General features: G+C 40.6%; 1 protein-coding gene across 7 annotated transcripts in view, besides 2 other annotated features; it reads left to right on the top strand.

The window, feature by feature from the left end:
• Nucleotides 1-13,341, top strand: part of MYOM1 (myomesin 1) — a 180,570-nt gene that overhangs the window by 67,056 nt on the left and 100,173 nt on the right. For all 7 annotated transcript variants that reach the window (XR_935071.3, XM_047437910.1, XM_047437911.1 and 4 more), the window contains 4 exons: nt 4,187-4,279; nt 6,113-6,201; nt 6,321-6,383; nt 11,340-11,504. Coding sequence is in view for 6 of the 7 variants with exons in the window: in XM_047437910.1 (XP_047293866.1) it covers nt 4,187-4,279; nt 6,113-6,201; nt 6,321-6,383; nt 11,340-11,504 (410 nt within the window). In the remaining variant the exon portion in view is untranslated. The remainder of the gene's footprint in view (nt 1-4,186; nt 4,280-6,112; nt 6,202-6,320; nt 6,384-11,339; nt 11,505-13,341) is intronic.
• Nucleotides 1,992-2,381: an enhancer, noted in NCBI's record as "active region_13039". NCBI's record gives its function as "activates an Ori minimal core promoter by ATAC-STARR-seq in GM12878 lymphoblastoid cells {active_cell/tissue: GM12878}" and the evidence as "EXISTENCE:reporter gene assay evidence [ECO:0000049][PMID:35858748]".
• Nucleotides 2,402-2,521: an enhancer, noted in NCBI's record as "active region_13038". NCBI's record gives its function as "activates an Ori minimal core promoter by ATAC-STARR-seq in GM12878 lymphoblastoid cells {active_cell/tissue: GM12878}" and the evidence as "EXISTENCE:reporter gene assay evidence [ECO:0000049][PMID:35858748]".

Raw genomic sequence — 13,341 nt, 5'->3', positions numbered from 1 at the left:
CAAAGTGATGTGTGGTGTGTGTGTATTTTAAACCCATTTCTCTTGCCATGTGGTGATAATAGAAAAGTTGTTAGCTGGGGAAAAGGTATTAGGGTGCTAAATTGAGTAGTAATGGAAAGAAAGGATGGTGAAGCAACTATGGGAGCTGCAAAATAGTTTTTTATTTTATTTTTAAAAATTCATTTTTTACAGTCATGGAGTCTTGCCATGTTACCCAGCTGGTCTCGAACTCCTGGCCTCAAACGATCCTCCTGCTTCAGCCTCCCAAAGTTCTGGGATTACAGGCATGAACTGCCACTGCTGACCTGCAGAATACTTTGTAATGAAAATTTTATAGAGATATGAGCAATACTTTTGATCCGAAGCCGAATTGAGTGTCACTGAGTCATTTGGTCAAACAGCACATGTCACAGCCGTTGGTATCACAGCGCTTTTCTTAGGCAAAGAGGAACCACTGAAAACCCTCCAGCACAAGAAAGAGCAGAGCCAGAGTGAGCTTGAGTCCAGTGTGAAATTACCTAAACCAATTATAGAAGAAGAGCATGCCAATTAACATGTTCTACCCTGTACTTCATCTAAACGGGGAATGCGGGAGATTAGAAGTGGCCAGTGGATTTCTTTTTCCAGGCCATCTCTGATCAGATAGTCCTGTCTGCTCGAGCCATGTTGAGACAGCTGTCTGAAGCTGCTGGCAGGAAATAGCACTGCATCAACTTGCAGGGTCTTCTGTGTTTGGAGAAGGTTATGTTGCTGCACCTGCCACACAGCTGCGATTCTTAAGCCAGTCCCACCCTCTCCATTTCACATCTGAGGGAACTGAGACTGTCAACTTACTTTCTTCGTGTGCATTTATTTAAAATCATCCAACTTTGGGAGGCTGAGGCAGGGGGATCGCTTGAGCCCAGGAATTTGAGACCAACTTGAGCAACATAGTGAGACCTCATCGCTATTTATTTAAAATAAAATCATCCATATCATGACATATATGCTTGTCAGAACTCTGTTCTCTCAGACAAAAAATTATGAAGCTACAATTAATCTATTGCATTACGTGCTAATTCTGTTCAACCAAATTTAACCAATTCTGAGCGCCTGCTGTTTGCCCATGACTCATTCTTCCTCAGGAGTAGGAATAGAAGTAAATGTGGATCAGGCCAGGCACAGTGGCTCATGGCTGTAATCCTAGCATTTTGGGAGGCCGAGGTGGGAGGATTGCTTGAGCCCAGGAGTTTAAGACCAGCATAGGCAACATAGCAAGAGCCTGTCTCTACAAAAAATAGAAAAAATTAGCTGAGTGTGGTGGTGCACACTTGTAGTCCCAGCTACTTGGTAGTCTGAGGTGGGAAGATTGCTCGAGCCTGGGAGGTGGAGGTTGCAGGGAGCTATAATCACACCATTGCACTCCAGCATGGGAGACAGAGCGAGACACTGTCTCAAAAAAAAAAAGTAAATGTGGATCAGACACAATCCCAACCTCAAAGGTTTGGCAACATAATAGAAGAGACACATATCCAACCATAATTTTGATAAATGTTATATTTAGTAACTTGAAGCAAGGAACCCTGATGCAGAGAGGCAGGAACGATTCATACTGTGTCATATTTTAGGGAAGAGTTTATTGAAGAAGTTGCATTTGATCTGAATCTTGAAGGATGAGTTCGGGTTCTGTTATATGGAGGAGAGTGTTTGTTTGTTTTAAGTGTAGAAAATGAATAACGTGCTTTAGGGACGGAGGGGTGTATGTGTATGTGAGAGAGAGAGCTGGGGAAAGGAAGGAGCTGACTGAAGCCAGTATTCTTCCTTCCTCTCCCTTTCCATCATGTTCCCTACTCCCAAACCTCCTTATGATCGTGTCCACAAGTCTGAAGAAATGAAATGCAGACAGAACAATTGGAAAATGGAAGCATCATGTGGGTCAGCAGCCAGGCTGCCGGTTCAAATCCCTCCTCTGCTGTTCCTGGCTGTGTGACTGGGCAAGTTCCTGAAACCCCCATGCCTTGGTTTCTTCATCTGGAAAATGAGGTTAAAAACAGCACTATCTCATACGGTGGTTGTGAGAACTGAACTTACCAATGTATGCATAAAGCGCTTAGAGCATTGCCTGGCTCATAGTCAATTCTCTGTGTCAGCTATGTTAATCAGGGTTATTGACGTCATCTGTGCGTGCGAAGTGGGCTGTCTGAAAGGGAAACAAGTGAAACCCAGTTCCTCTTTTGGGCAGAAAATGGTTTAAGTAGAAAAGCCTGGTCCAGCACCATAGCCACTGGCTACTGAGAACATGAGGAAGTGGTGAAGAATCCAGGCGCCACGTACAGACCCAGAAGACAGGGTCCCAGGGAGAGGCCCGCCTGCGTAGTCCACTCTCCGAGGGCTGTGAGGCTTAACCAGATATGGAACAGTCAGAAAAAGGGAGGCTTTCAGCTCTTACTTGTCAGAAGTTTCCTTTCATGATTTATATTATAAATTCTTCCAAGGCAAGAGCCATGTTTGTTTATGACATTGAATAAAACACTTAAATATAATGATCGTTCAATACAATGATATTGCAGGCCGAGCATAGTGGCTCACACCTGTAATCCCAGCACTTTGGGAGGTCAAGGCAGGTGGATGACCTGAGGTCAGGGGTTCGAGATCAGCCTGACCAACATGGTGAAACCCCATCTGTACTAAAAATACAAAAAACTAGCCAGGCGTAGTGGCCGGTGCCTGTAATCCCAGCTACTGGGGAGGCTGAGGCAGGAGAATCACTTGAACCCGGGAGGTGGAGTTTGCAGTGAGCCAAGATGATGCCATTGCACTCCAGCCTGGGCAACAAGAGTGAAACTCTGTCTCAAATAATAATAATAATAATAATAATAATAATAATAATAATAATGATATTGCTTCTAACAACATGCAAGAATGTTAGCAGGAAGAATGTTTTGCTCTCATCCTACACAGATAGCCAGCAATAAAACCCCCAACAGAAAGCCTTCCTCTCTGTTACATCAATAGTGGTCAACTTTTTAAAAAGCTTATTTATGTATTTATTTGTTTTATTTATTTTTAAAAAGCTTATTTGTTTGTTTGTTTTATTTATTTTAAGACACGGTCTCACTCTGTTGCCCAGGCTGGAGTGCAGTGGTGCGATCATAGCTCACTGCAGCCTCAGCCTCTCAGGCTCAAGCTATTCTCCCACTGCAGCCTCCAAAGTAGTTGGGACTACAGGTTTACACTCAGCTAATTTTTTGTAGTTTTTGTAGATTCAGGGTCTTGCTTATTGCCCAGGCTGGTCACAAACTCCTGGCCTCAAGTGATTCTTCCACTTCAGCCTCCCAAAGTGCTGGGATTACAGGAATTACATGCATAAGCCACCATGCCTGGCCTAAAACCTTTTAAATTATAATATAACATGCACACAAAAAGTGTGCATATTATATACTGCAAATTTTTTTTTTTCGAGATGGAGTCTCACTCCGTCGCCCAGGCTGGAGTGCAGTGGCACAATCTCAGCTCACTGCAACCTCCGCCTCCTGGGTTCAAACAATTCTTGTGCCTGAGCCTCCTGAGTAGCTGGGATTACAGGTGTGTGCTACCATGCCTGGCTAATTTTTAGTATTACTAGTAGAGATGGTATTTCACCACGTTGGCCAGGCTGGTCTCAAACTCCTGACCTCAAGTGATTTGCCCGCCTCGGCTTCCCAAAGACTGCACACTTTTACAAATGAATTGCTTTAGTGAATTTTTGTAGATTGCACACACCCATGTAACTGACACCCAAATCAATAAACATTATTGACACCCAAGAAGCCTCCTTCTTGCGTCCCAACACACTACTGATTTCTAGTAGCATTAATTAGTTTTTTGTTTTTGTATTCTATATAAAAGCAATCATTCTGCTGTGCACTGTTTTGTAACTGGCTTTTTTCGGTAACTATGTTACATGATATTCAGCCATATTGCTGTGAATCGTCAACATTTTTCATGTAAGTTTATAGAGGAGGGGAAAGCACTTCATCAAGAAGTGTGATGTATTGCTGGTGCACTTCACGTAAGCCAATATGATTTACATTTATTTAATCGATGCTGCTGCTACCCTCAGTGCCCTGTTTACAGATGTTCCTGCAAGAACAAGAATTGTGTGTGTGTTTAATCATGAAGTTGTTTACACTTCAACTTACTTCATTTTGTTTCCATTCTGTTATAGGTATAAAAACCAGGTGCCAATAAATGTCCATGCAAACCCTGGAAAGTATATTATTGAGAGTCGATATGGGATGCACACTCTGGAGATTAATGGGTAAGAGAACATTAGTGTCCATGTGTTGCTCACCATTGCTCAGGGAGGCTTCTCACCCCTGCAGTTAACAGCCACTCTCCCCACTTCATCCCAATGCTGTGTGATCACACTGAGGGACATTCGTATACGGTGCTTCTCTGGGTGCACACCTGAAAGTGATATGTATGACTGATCCTTACCATACCCACACTACCTCCCAAAGTGATTTTATATTTGGATTCGGTCAAAGATGATGAGAAAAAAACCAATTTGCATGTTTTTATTTATCTTTTTATATACTTGGGAATTTTTCTTAGATGTAAGTAAGAAAAATATGTTGCATAAAGAGGCATTTATATTCAGTAATCATTTCAGAGTCCCAAATCAATATCATCATCACAGTCTCTTGTTTTTAATAACTAAAGGCCATGGAGATCCGGGTAGGTGGCATTGAATGTGGGCTAAACTTGGAGATAATGTTCTTTCCTTCAGCTTGCCAGGAACCATGGGAAAGTATGCACTCTGTCAATCTGTGTATGTGAAGCAGGCTAGACATTGAGATGTTTGAGCTTAAAGTAAAATCCAAAGCAAAATTTGAAAACGAAACCTACATCAAAATTCCTAAGTTCCCAAATGTTTATTTTGCCTCCCAAGATGATTTTGAAATTCAAACCTAATTAGGTCAATGAAAAGCTAAACAAGTTCCCAGAATTTTCAGTTTAGATAAAACCATGATGTGCCTAAGTGTCAAGGTGAAATTTATACCATTCATTCTCAGGAGACTTATAGCCTTCTCCTCAGATCAGAGGAGTTGGCCAAATGATGCTAGGACCCTGTGCCATTTGCCAGGCACTGACCCTGACCCAAAGTCAGGTCAGTTCTGCCAGTGGGTGGTTCTGCTAAAGCAACAGTGAGCTATGTGGTTACTTTCAAAATTAAGTAGTTATGAGAAGGGCAACTGTGTTTGCCTTGCTGGGGTTCTATTGATGTCTGTAAAATTTCAGCAAGAAAAAAAATTTACACAAATGAAACTAAACCCCGAGAAACAATGAAGAACACGAGAAACTGGTAATGATAAGACATAAAACAACCTGCTTTGAAACCTTAGCCTCTTCATCTCTCCATGAAACCATTCTCTCCCTAATGGTCCATTTTTATAAGAATTCCAGTTTCTGTATTATAACTTAGAAGAACATCCAAATGGCGCTTCTTGTGTGCTGTGAGCTGAAATTCCAAGTATGGCCTGAACCTTAGTGGAAATGAAGTGTAAATAACTTAGATGAGCTTTGAAGCTAGAACACATAGACCAACGTGGCTCAGGGAGGTTGTGGGAATCTACACGGAGGGACTGCTTCTTTCTCTTCCCTATTTCCTGGTTGCCCCCAGACTGAAACCCACCACAAGGGCAGGACAGCAGGAAAGCCACGCCCTCCAGTGTGCCTCTGGGTAGTTACTTGCTACAAAGGTACACGCCTGCACATTTTCTCCTCCCAATGCAACTTTAGACAAGTAAGCGGATCACAATGCTGTTCACTCTATAATTTATGTGCCTAGCACTTGGTTGACTTTTTTTTTTGACATTTTAAATGAACCCAGGCTAGGGTCACAGTGAACTATAGGTGTTCTCTCCCCAGTCTATGCTGCTGGCATGAAACTGCAGTAGATCACTTGGACTAGGTAATATCCCACAGGTAGCTAGATCAGAGACAAATAGCTGTACCAGGAGAACCAAAGAGCCATGTGTTAGCCACTGATTTGCAGGGGGCTGTGATAGCAAAGAGTTCCTTGATAGAACAGCTAGTAATTACAAGGATTGTCACTACGATGGATATTCATTTCCGTCTGTTCTTTCAGATGTGATTTTGAAGATACAGCTCAGTACCGGGCCTCGGCGATGAATGTTAAAGGAGAGCTTTCGGCATATGCTTCAGTTGTGGTAAAAAGTAGGTTTGCTAGATTTGTTTTCTTCAAAGTGTGTGTGTGTTTTTAAAAATTTCTTCCCATGGTTTTAAAATAAATCGATCACAAAGCAGTTCACATGCGTTTCTGTTTTCTTCTCTAGGGTATAAGGGAGAGTTTGATGAGACTCGCTTCCACGCTGGGGCTTCCACCATGCCCCTCAGCTGTAAGTTTAAAAACACATTTACTAAGTGTCACCTCTATGTAAAATATGGCATAATAAGTTAGCCCATAATGCTGAAATAAATGCATACTATATATAACATAGTATATGCTAGGTTGGATGTAGTAGGTACCTGTGGTTATTTTATTTACTTATTTTTTTAGATTTTTTGGTTACTGTTCTCTTTCTGAATCGAATTGCTTTGTGCTGGTTTTATGAAAGCCCAGATATGATGGGCTAAAAATAGCAAATGTTTTTACATCTTTCTGGGTTAAACTGCGAAAGATCATTATGCAAACCTGGGCAGAACGACTTAACCAAACACACACACACACACACACACACACACACACACACACACACACACGAGTCTGGACTATATCAAAGCGCTCTTTCTCACCCTTAAATATCCAGATGGGCATCACTTCCTTGAGAAAGCAGGTCTGACCCCCACTGCCGCCCCTACACCCTACCCAGTCAGGGTTAGGTGTCCTGGGTGAGGCCATGGCACCTCATCGGAGCGTCAGTGAGGCTGTACACTGTTACCTGTTGTGTGTCAGTCTCTCTCACTGGTCCATGAGCCACTTGAAGGCAAGGTTGGGCCTGCCACAGAGTGGGTATTCAATAATGAAATGAATAAATAAATGCATTAAGTTATAAAGTACAATCTAAAATGAAGTCTAAATATGATTAAATAAAAACCTATTAAAAATATTCTGGTCAGTAGTAATTTACAAATTTGTGAATGTCAGTCATTTCATTTACATCAGAACTTCTATTTATGAGAAGCAATAAAAGTAAAATCTTTATGGTTGTTGAAATAATTATATACTTACAGTGGTCAGACTAAAAAAGGTAGTCAAGCCCTAATTTGGTTTTCAAACATTAAAAAATTAGTGGTAGTTTTGAAAATGGCTGATAGCAGTTTTTCACCTGGCTGGTTAGCTTGATGTCTGTGGCTGACCTGCTCCACTGATTTCATGGAATGGCTTCTCGTTTAATATCCCAAGTTGTGATCACTGGCATCAGCCCCATGGGTGAGAAGGGATGACTGGTAGAGCAACAGAGAAGCACATCCCGAATCATGTTCTTCTCCCATCTCTTGATTTATGTTGAGATAGAATAGTTGGGGCCAGGCACGGTGGCTCACGCCTGTAATCCCAACACTTTGCGAGGCGGAGGTGGGTGGATCACCTGAGGTCAGGAGTTCGAGACCAGCCTGGTGCAACATCATGAAACCCTATCTCTACTAAAAATACAAAAATTAGCCAGGCATGGTGGTGGGCATCTGTAATCCCAGCTACTCAGGAGGCTGAGGCAGGAGAATCGCTTGAACTGGGGAGGCAGAGGTTGCAGTAAGCCGAGATCACGCCACTGCATTCCAGCCTGGGCAACAGAGTGAGACTCCATCTCAAAAAAAAAAAGAATAGTTGGAAATTCTGAACCTATGACTTGTCTCCCAGTGTCCCCAGGAGTGGCCTATTGATCACGTCACAATCCTCTGAATGTAGCTTGCCCATCTCCACAACTGTATCATCATCCATGTTTCTCCCTTTCCTCTCTTCTCTGTCAAGGCGGGGACTGAAAGCCCAACTCACTCTCACTTCTCTTATTGCTAAATCTTACAGAGCCTCCTCTCTGATGACCCCCGAATTGAATGCAGTTGTTCCTAACAGAAAACAGAGTGCTTATATTCACATATTTGGTTAATATTTACTAAGCACCTGTTATGTGCTAGGTAGGGGTTTAGGTGCTTGGAATGTTGGTAAATATCACAGACAAAGCTCTCTGCTCTTTTTTTCTAATAGTTAACATTTATTGATCAGTTCTGCCAGACAATGTACTAAGACTTTTTTATACACATTGATTCATTTAATGTTTCCCAGAAGCTTATGAAGTAGTTGCATTTCTATCTGCGCTATGCCAATGAGGAAACAGTTTAGAGAAGAACACAGAGTGGTAGAATAGGGATGTGTAACCTGGTCTTTTTAATTCTAAACCATTATTTCAAACAAGGAGTCACCAAACATTTTCTGTAAAGGACTAGACTGTAAATATTGTAGACTTTGTGGGCCATATGGTCTCTGTCACAGCCACTCAACTCTGCCTCTGTAACACAAAAGCAGCCGTAACAGTAGGAGAATGAATGAGCATGGCTGTGTTCCAATAAAACCTTTATGAACGTTGAAATTTAAATTTCCTGTGACTTTTCACATCGCAAAATACTGTACTTCTTTTTATTTTTTTCAACCACTAAAACATGCAAAAACCATTCTTAATGGTCTAAACAAGAGACATCCTAGATTTGCCCCACAGACTTGCCAACCCCTGCCCTAAACCATTTTTCTCAGGATAGTAAGTACATGTGATAAAAGATTGAGGACGTGACAACGAAATGATGTGTTGTCTTCTGGTTGTTAAACTGGGGTGCCTCCTACTGAACCCCAAAGTTATCGCAGACAGTGCAGTCCAATCTCAGATACAGAAGAGAACCTAGAAGTTAGGTCCGTTTCTAGGGGACCTACTTGCCTTTCCAGCTGAGTCTGGAACATCTGGCGGTAGCCCTCACCTCTACCCCCTAAGGCAGCTCTGGAACCAGCCCAGCCTCCCAGCGCTGTGCAAGATCTGTCAAGTTGTTTCTCTCTCTGGTCTCAGTGAACATCAACACATAAAAAAAAGTGAGGCAGATGGGAGATGTGCTTCCAAAGAGGTTACTTCACTGTTGATTAGGGTTACCTGGGAACACACGAAATCAAGACAGTACAATGTATTGGCCAAGAGCACAGAAACGGCCAGCCGGTGCAAATCTGGCTCTGCAGGGGAATGTGGTCAGTTATTTTGCCTTCCTATGCATCAGTTTCTTCTTCTATAAAATGCAGATATTAGTGGTACTTACCTAATAGCATTATTATGGGATTTCTGTTAATATGGGGTATTAAATGCTTGGACCAATACTTGGTCAAAGTTGAACTCAATAAATGTCAGCTTGCATTTTCAAGTGTAATGAAAGAAGTCTTAGGAAGAGGGACAAAAGATGTGAGAAAGGGCCTAAGTTTTGGGGTCGAGAAGTTATGAGTGTGAATTTCAATTTCACACATGCTACCTGTGAAATTCTGGCATTAGGTGTGTGTTACTTTTGTGAACTTCCATATACCCACCTGAAAGAGAGGAAGAAAATAGTATCTACGGCATAGATTTGTTGCAAGGGATTGATGATATGTCAAATGTGAAAGTGTCTGGCATGTAATAACCCATCAATAAACAGTCGTTTCTTTCCCAAGTCCTTTCTTTGGTGAAAAGAGGAAATAAAGCCTAGGAGAGTTGATTACGCAGGCTGCATTTACTCAATCTGTAAATAAGATATTTCTGAGAATAATATTTTTAAAAGTTAGAATATTTTAAACTTTTCCATTTTCTCCTGTGGACATTTCTTATAATATTTATCACTCAGATCATTAAAGAAACTGAAGCAACTTATTTTAAAACTCCATTAAAATTATTTAATTTAAAATTATTTTTATTTTTATGGATACATAGTAGTTGTACATATTGATGGGGTACATGCGATATTTAGATACAAGCATACAATGTGTAATGATCAAATCAGGGTAATTGGAGCATCCATCATCTCAAACATGTCTTATTTCTTTGTATTAGGGACGTTCCAATTCCACTCTTCTCATTGTTTGAAAATATGCAATAAATTATTAACTGTAGACTAGATCTTATTCCTTGCATCTAATTGTATTTTTGTACCCATTAACTAACCCTTCTTTATTTCCCCTTGCACTACAGTTCCCAGCCTCTGGTAACCATCATTCTACTCTCTATCTCCATGGGTTCAATTCTTTTTAGCTCTCACATTTGAGTGAGAACACATGATATCGGTTCTTCTGTGCCTGGCTTACTTCCCTTAACATAATGTCCTCTAGTTCCATCTATGTTGTTGCAAATGACAGGATTTCAATCTTTTTTTTTGCTGAATAACATTCCATTGAGTATATGTACCACGTTTTCTTTATTCATTCTGCCATGGTTGAACACTTAGGTTAATTTCACATCCTGGCCTATTGTGAAAAGGGCTGCAATAAACATCGGAGTGCAGATGTCTCTGCTATATATTGTTTTCCTTTCTTTAAGATATAAACCCAGCAATGGGATTGCTGGATTATATGGAAATTTTTTATTTTTTTGAGGAACCTCCATACTGTTCTCCATAGTGGTTGTACTAATTTACGTTCCCACCAACAGCGTAAGAGGGTTTCCTTGTCTCCACATCTTTGTCAGCGTTATTGCCTGTCTTTTGGATACATTTTAATTGGGGTGAAATGATATCTCATTGTCATTTTGATTTGCATTTCTCTCAATGATTAGTGATGTTGAGCATTTTTCCGTATACCGGTTGGCCATTTGTATGTCTTTTTAGAAACGTCTATTCAGATCTTTTGCTCATTTTTAAATTGGATTACTTGAATTTTTTGCTATTGAGTACTTTGAGCTTCTTATAAATTCTGGTTATTAATCCCTTGTCAGATGAAAAACGCCATTTTTATGAATAATGGATATGGCTATTTTGTCCCAAGAGTACAAGCAGTAGAGTTTAACTCAACATCTAAAATTACAAAGTGCATATGTTGCAGCTAAAGATTTAAATCTAGGCTAAATGTGGTATTAATTTGCATTGAAGACATTAAACCTGACCCTTTAAATTCTATTCATTACAATAATAAAAATAAGCATTTAGCTTATATAACCAATGAAGTAAGAATTTCCATACAAATGATATATGCATATGTTCTAAATACTTCTTATGTACGGTTTCATTTTGACCCAGTTAAATCATTTGCTCATTTGTTCATTTTTTTTTTGCTGTGACTGCTTTCTGCCTGTGCTTATTAAAATGCTTGTGTCTCTTTGATGAAGAAAAAAATTACTGATATTTGTTATTTTTGTACCCAGTTGGTGTGACCCCATATGGTTATGCATCCCGGTTTGAGATCCACTTTGATGACAAATTTGATGTGTCTTTTGGGAGAGAGGGAGAGACAATGAGTCTAGGCTGTCGTGTTGTCATCACTCCTGAAATTAAACATTTCCAGCCAGAGATCCAGTGGTACAGAAACGGTGAGTCTTTACAATGAATGCTCACTTAGGTTCTTATTCGAAGGTTGTAGACCAGATTGCAGATCTGTTTATCGGAGCTGGTGGAATCTGGAAGTTAGAAGGGACTACCTTTACACGATTAAAAGGTTTTCACATGTGTAGCAAAGTAGCAACACTTTCATATTTGTGGAGATGATATTTTCCTTTTAACAAGTAAGATGTGGAAAGAATCATAAAGAATGTATATTCTGCTGGGCGTGGTGGCTCATGCCTGTAATCTCAGCACTTTGGGAGGCTGAGATGGGCAGATAACCTGAGGTCAGGAGTTTGAGACCAGACTGGCCAACATGACGAAACCCTGTCTCTACTAAAAATACGAAAATTAGCCAGGCGTGGTGGTGTGCACCTGTAATCCCAGCTACTCAGGAGGCTGAAGCAGGAGAATCACTTGAACCCAGGAGGCAGAGGTTGCAGTGAGTGGAGATGGCGCCATTGCACTCCGCCTGGGCGACGGAGAGACTGTCTCAAAAAAAAAAAAGTATATTCATTTTGTAAGTTAATCCATTTGGTAAAATACCCATCCTCATAGACTTATTTATACCATAAAAATGGTATGTAACTTTAAAAAACATAACCTTATGAAACAATAAAATCCTGATATTATTATTAATTAACCAGAAGAGTACATTCAGAAGAATTTCAGACTCTGGCACTTTTGTTTTAACGTATTAAAGGCTTTTTATAATTTTGAAATTTTTGATAAGTGTATTCTGCATGCAATATATCCAAGTTCTACTGATGTCCCTGAAGGACACAAAAATAGATAAAATGATCCTTTTGTTTTACATCATATTATAACAGGCTGGTAGAACAGAAAGAAAATCCTTCCATTGTCAGTTCCTCTGACTCTGGCTTTAAATCACAATTCAATCTCACTTTGCTTCAAAAGGGCCTAGAGCCATGATAGTTTGGTGTGAGAAAGAAATAAGGATTTAATTTCCCCTTTTTAAACTCCATTTGGGTTAAAGTATATTTAAAGTAACACTCCAGATAAAACCCAGTCAAAGCAAAACAAGATGAAGAAGCTATCAAAACAAGTTGATGAGTTGAAGCACTGGACTTGAAAAATAATGCTATTTCTAAAATAACAATAGGCCGGGCACAGCGGCTCACACCTGTAATCCCAGCACTTTGGGAGGCTGAAGTGGGCAGATCACCTGAGGTCAGGAGTTTGAGACCAGCCTGGCCAACATGGTGAAACCCTGTCTCTACCAAAAAATACAAAAATTAGCCGGGCGTGGTGGCGCACACCTGTAGTCCCAGCTACTTGCGTGGCTGAGGCAGGGGAATCGCTTGAACTCAGAAGGCAGAAGTTGCAGTGAACCAAGATTGCGCCATTGCACTCCAGCCTGGGCTATAGAGCGGGACTCCATCTCAAAACAAAACAAAACAAAAAACATAAAATAAAATAACAATAAATCTCAGGTCCAAATACACTAAGTTTCTATACTAGAGTATCTCATAGAATAGACCAAGATATAGAAACTGTCTGAAGAGAATAAGGGATTGCCCCAAATCACACAGTCAAATCCTTGCCACGGGAGACCTCCAGACCTGCTGGTGTTTACTCTAAGCCTGGACATCTTTTCACTACCATGTGCCTCCTTTTATATTGTCTGTATTAGGTCTAACACAGACAAAAAGCCTCCTGAGAAAACTTGTACTTTCTCTGACTTGTCTGCCTCCCTTTATGCCTAGGTATTGAAAAAAGCATTGAAATTTAAGAAATTGAATTTGCCCGTACATACATATCTGCGAGGCCCATGCTAGCTCCTAGCTAACAGAAGATGTGTCATGG

Source organism: Homo sapiens, chromosome 18 (assembly GCF_000001405.40).
Source record: "Homo sapiens chromosome 18, GRCh38.p14 Primary Assembly".
Classification (NCBI taxonomy): Eukaryota; Metazoa; Chordata; class Mammalia; order Primates; family Hominidae; genus Homo; species Homo sapiens.
The sequence above is the reverse complement of the archived record's forward strand: the minus strand, read 5'-3'. Positions and strand labels throughout refer to the sequence as shown.